We start from the raw sequence: 4,501 nt of genomic DNA on the forward strand, positions 1-4,501 counted from the left end.
CTCTATTTATTTTAATTCCCTAGCTTAACTCTGCTCCGTTCTTCATTATTTTCTTTCTTCTACTAGCTGTAGGTTTTGTTTGCTCTTTTTTATCCAGTTTCTTAAGTTGTAAAGTTAGGTTGTTAGTTTTCTGCCTTGTTTTTTAATATAAGCATTCATAGTCACAAATTTCTCAATTAGCATTGCTTTTGGTGCATCTCTTAAGTTTTGGTACATAGTGGTTTTAACTAGCCTCCAAGTATTTTCTAATTGTCCTAGTAATTTTGTTTTTGATTCACTGGCTGTTTAAGAGTAAGTTATTTAATTTCCACAATTTTGTAAATTTTTTTAGATTTACTTCTGTTGATTTTTAACTTCATCTCATGGTCAAAGAGGATACTTGTATGATATCTATTTTTTATAATCTATGAAGATTTAGCTTGTGGCCTAACATGTAGTCTGTTCTGGAAAAGGTCCCAAGTGCTCTTGAGAAGAATGTTTCACATTTCATTTTTGGACATAGTATTCTGCATATGTCTGTTAGATACATTTGATTTATTGTGTTAAGTTCTTTATTACCTTAAATATATTCCCTCTGTTTTTTCTATCCATTATTGAATTGAGATATTGAAATATCCAACTATTATTGTAGAACTGCCTGTCTACTCCTTAAGTTTTATCAGTTTTGCTTCATATACTTTGATGGTTTGTCACTAGGTGCATAAATGCTTATAATAGCTATATATTACTGCATTGAACTATTTATTAAGATATAATGTTATTCTTTTTGTCTTGTAAACTTTTTGGATTTTTTTTCTGAAGTATGTAAGTATAAACACAATATAAGTATAAACTACTCTGCCCTCTTGGTTACTAACTGTATGAAATATCTTTTTCTATTCTTATATTTTTCAATCTACTGTTGACCCTTGAACAATGAAGAAGTTAGGGGCACCAATGCCCTGTGCATTTGAAAATCTGCATATTATCTTTTGATGTCTCTCAAACTCAGCTATTAATAGCCTAATGTTGATTAGAAACTTTATTGATAACATAAACAATTTTTAACAAATATTTTGTATGTTATATGTAATATAGGCTGTATCACAAAAATAAAGATAGGAAAAAGTAAACGTTATCAAGAAAATCATAGGAAAAGAATATATATAATTATTATTATTTAAGTGGAAGTGTATCATCATAAAGGTCTTCATTCTTATTGTCTTCATGTTGAGTAGGCTGAGGAGGAGGAGGAGGAAGAGGAGGGTTTAGTCTTATTGTCTCAGAGGTGGCAGAGGCAGAATAAAATCTGTGTGTGAAAGGACCTACTCAGTTCAAACCCTTGCTGTTGAAGGGTCAACTGTGTTTGTTTCTTTGGATCTAAAGTGAGTCTCTTATGGAGAGCATATACTTAAATTATTGGTTGTTGTTGTTGGTGGTGTTTTATCTATTCAATGTCTGTCTTTTGATGAGAGAGCTTAATCTACTTACAATTAAACTAATTACTAAACAGAAGAGATTAACTTTGATCATTATACTGTTTATTTTCAACATACATGGTAGCTTTTTTGTCCCTTATTTCATGTATTATTGATAAGTGTGTATGTTTAGCTGATTTTTTAAGTAAGGAAACATTTGAATTCCAATATTATTAGCTTTTATGTGTATATTATAGGTATTATCTTTGTGGGTATCGTGGGGATTACATATACTATCTTAAAGTTGTAACACTCTAATTTAAATTTTTACCAGCTTAACTTAGATAATATACAAAAACAATTTTTTAGAAGGCCAGCCCTTACCCATTTTGAATGTTGATTTACAAAATTACATCTTTCAACACTGTGCACCCAGAAATATAAACTAACAATTCTTTTAAATGCATTGTCTTTTAAAGTTGTGTAGAAAACCAAAAAAAAAAAATGTAGGTACAAATAAAAGGTACAATAATATTGGCTTTTTGACTAGTTTTAAAAGTTTATTAGTCTCTCAAATAATGTAGAAAAAAAGTGGAGTTTACAAGCCATTTTTACAATAATGCTAGATTTTGTAGTTGCCTATGTATTTCCTTTTTTTCATATATTTATTTATTCATGTGCATAGGGATTTGTGATACTCACTAGTGTCTTCTCATTTCACCCTGTATGACTCAGTGAAGCCTTTTCTACAGGGCAGGTCCAGTGGTAACAAACTACCTCAGCTTTTGTTTCTCTGGGAATATCTTTATTTATCTCTCACTTTTGAATAAATTTTTTGCTGGATGTAGAATTCTTGGTGACACTTAGGTTGTTTTTGCTTCTAGCATTTTGAATATAATGGCTCATTGACTTCTGGTATCTAAAGTTTCTGTCTAGAAAACTTCTTATAATTTTATTTTGGATGTCTTATATGTGAGAAGTCACTTCTCTCTTATTTTTTTAAGATACTTTTTGTTGAAAGTTTGAGTATAATATGACTGAGTAGGTCCCTGAGTTTGTTTTACTTTGAATTCATTGAGCTTCTTATATGTTTATATTATTCTTTTTTACATATTTGGGGAATTTTCACCTATTTCTTTAAATGTTTTTTCTTTTCTTATATCTCTCCTCTCTTTTTGAGACTTCTTCAGTGTTCATGTTGGTTCACTTGATAGTGTGCCACAGGTCCTTAAGCTGTGTATACTTCTCTTTAATCCTTTTTCTTTCTGTTTCTCATTCGCAATAATTTTAATTTTCTATCTTCAATTTCAATGAATTTTTCTTCTGCCTGCTCAAACCTGTCTTTGAATTCCTCTAGTAAATTTTTCATTTCAGTTATTGTATGTTTTAGCTTTGGAATTTTTTTATTGTTCTTTTTTTGAGGCTTTGTATCTCTTATGCATATTTACATTTTGTTCACACATTGGTGTTTTAATTTCTCCACATCTTTATTTAGTCCTCTGGCATCTTTAAAATAGTTACTTAAAGTTATTTTCTAGTATATGTGCCTTTAGGTATTTTTCAGAGACAGCTTCTGCTGATTGATTGATTTTTGAATGAGCCATACTTTTGTGTTTTTGTTTTTTTTTGTTTTTTGTTTTTTTTTTTTTTTTTTTGCATACCTTGTGAACTTTTGTTGAAAAAACTGGACATTTCAATGTAATAATGTGGTAACTGTGAAAATCAGATTCTCTACCTTGCCAAGGGGCTTTGTTTTTTGTTATTGTTTTTGGTGTTATAATTATTGCAGGCTGTCTCCCTGTTAAAGATTAGCCTGATGTGTACACTTAAGATCTCTTCAGGTCTTTTCTGAGCCTGTGCTTTTTTCTGTAAGTGTAATATCACTTTCTAATTTTCTTCATATATGTCGTTACTTTGGAATGTCCTAATCTTTGACGTCTGATTTTCAAAAAGGAAAAAGAGAGAGAAATGAAACAGGGCAAGCAGGGAAAGGACACTAGTCTCACATTCACTGGAAATCACTTCAGCCAAGGAAGAGAGGCTTGCAACAATGACATGAGGTGGAAAACAATGGCCAGCTGCCTCTTTCTGCATCTCCATGATAAAAGTAGCAATCCGAGATCAGAACACAGGTTCCCAATATTCAGAGGACAGCATTCCTACTGCTCAATCTGGCTAACACAAGCTGCATGCAAGATGTTCCAGGAACACCTGCACAGCTACCTGTCAAAGGACTGGAGGTGAGAAATGGGGAGCTGCAATTCTGTTAAGAGCTGAAATTGACCAAAATCAACTACAGTTTACCACCTAAGTCTTCCTCTAGAAGTTGTAAACCTTAAATAGAATTCAAACTTCCAAAATAGTTACATCAGACAGATTCTTCCAATAAAATATTTGTCTAGGTTGGGGGAGAGATTACTGGTGCTTTCTACTCTACTTTATTCCCAGAATCCTCTTTTCCTAACCTGTCTTTTAAACATTGCTATTTTTCTCTTTTCCTTATCAAAAAAATATGTTCAACCATTAATCTTCTGAATTTTTTAATAAATAATTTTGCATAATTTATATTACTATAAAATTTGTACATTCTAAAATATGTTCATTGTTATTAATCTGAATTTTTAATAAATAATTTTACAAAAGTTATACTACTATATAATTTATACATTCTGAAAATATTGCACATATAGTTTCTTTCCTTTATATGTTGCACAAAACTGGTACAAATTCACAAGTAATTGATTTTTTAATGAGAAGTTAAGTAAACTAATGGAGTATTTAATTTAAAAGTTTAAAAATTTGGGAGTTACTTATTTTGTTCTATTGTGTACAGGCATTACACATGAATAAAAATGAATGAAATTTGTAAAAACAAACAACAACAAAATATGTGTGAACAAATAAGATATTGTAGACTACTGTTTTACAGCTGTAGATTTCTTTCCCATGTATTCATTCTAGAATATAACCATTACATTACAAAATTGGCATAACTTTTAGATAATAGCCTTATGCCACTAAAAAGTAAAAAGAAAAAACAGAAATTATATGTGTACTAATAATCACTTTCAATATTTTTGACACTGTGTAAAATTATAATCCAT

At 30.3% G+C, this 4,501-nt stretch overlaps 1 annotated feature.

The window, feature by feature from the left end:
* Positions 3,209–3,807: an enhancer, noted in NCBI's record as "OCT4-NANOG hESC enhancer chr8:78620650-78621248 (GRCh37/hg19 assembly coordinates)". NCBI's record gives its function as "activates a minimal SCP1, AML or CMV promoter by ChIP-STARR-seq in naive and primed H9 embryonic stem cells {active_cell/tissue: H9 hESC(naive and primed)}" and the evidence as "EXISTENCE:reporter gene assay evidence [ECO:0000049][PMID:30033119]".

Source organism: Homo sapiens, chromosome 8, assembly GCF_000001405.40.
Source record: "Homo sapiens chromosome 8, GRCh38.p14 Primary Assembly".
Taxonomy (NCBI): domain Eukaryota; kingdom Metazoa; phylum Chordata; class Mammalia; order Primates; family Hominidae; genus Homo; species Homo sapiens.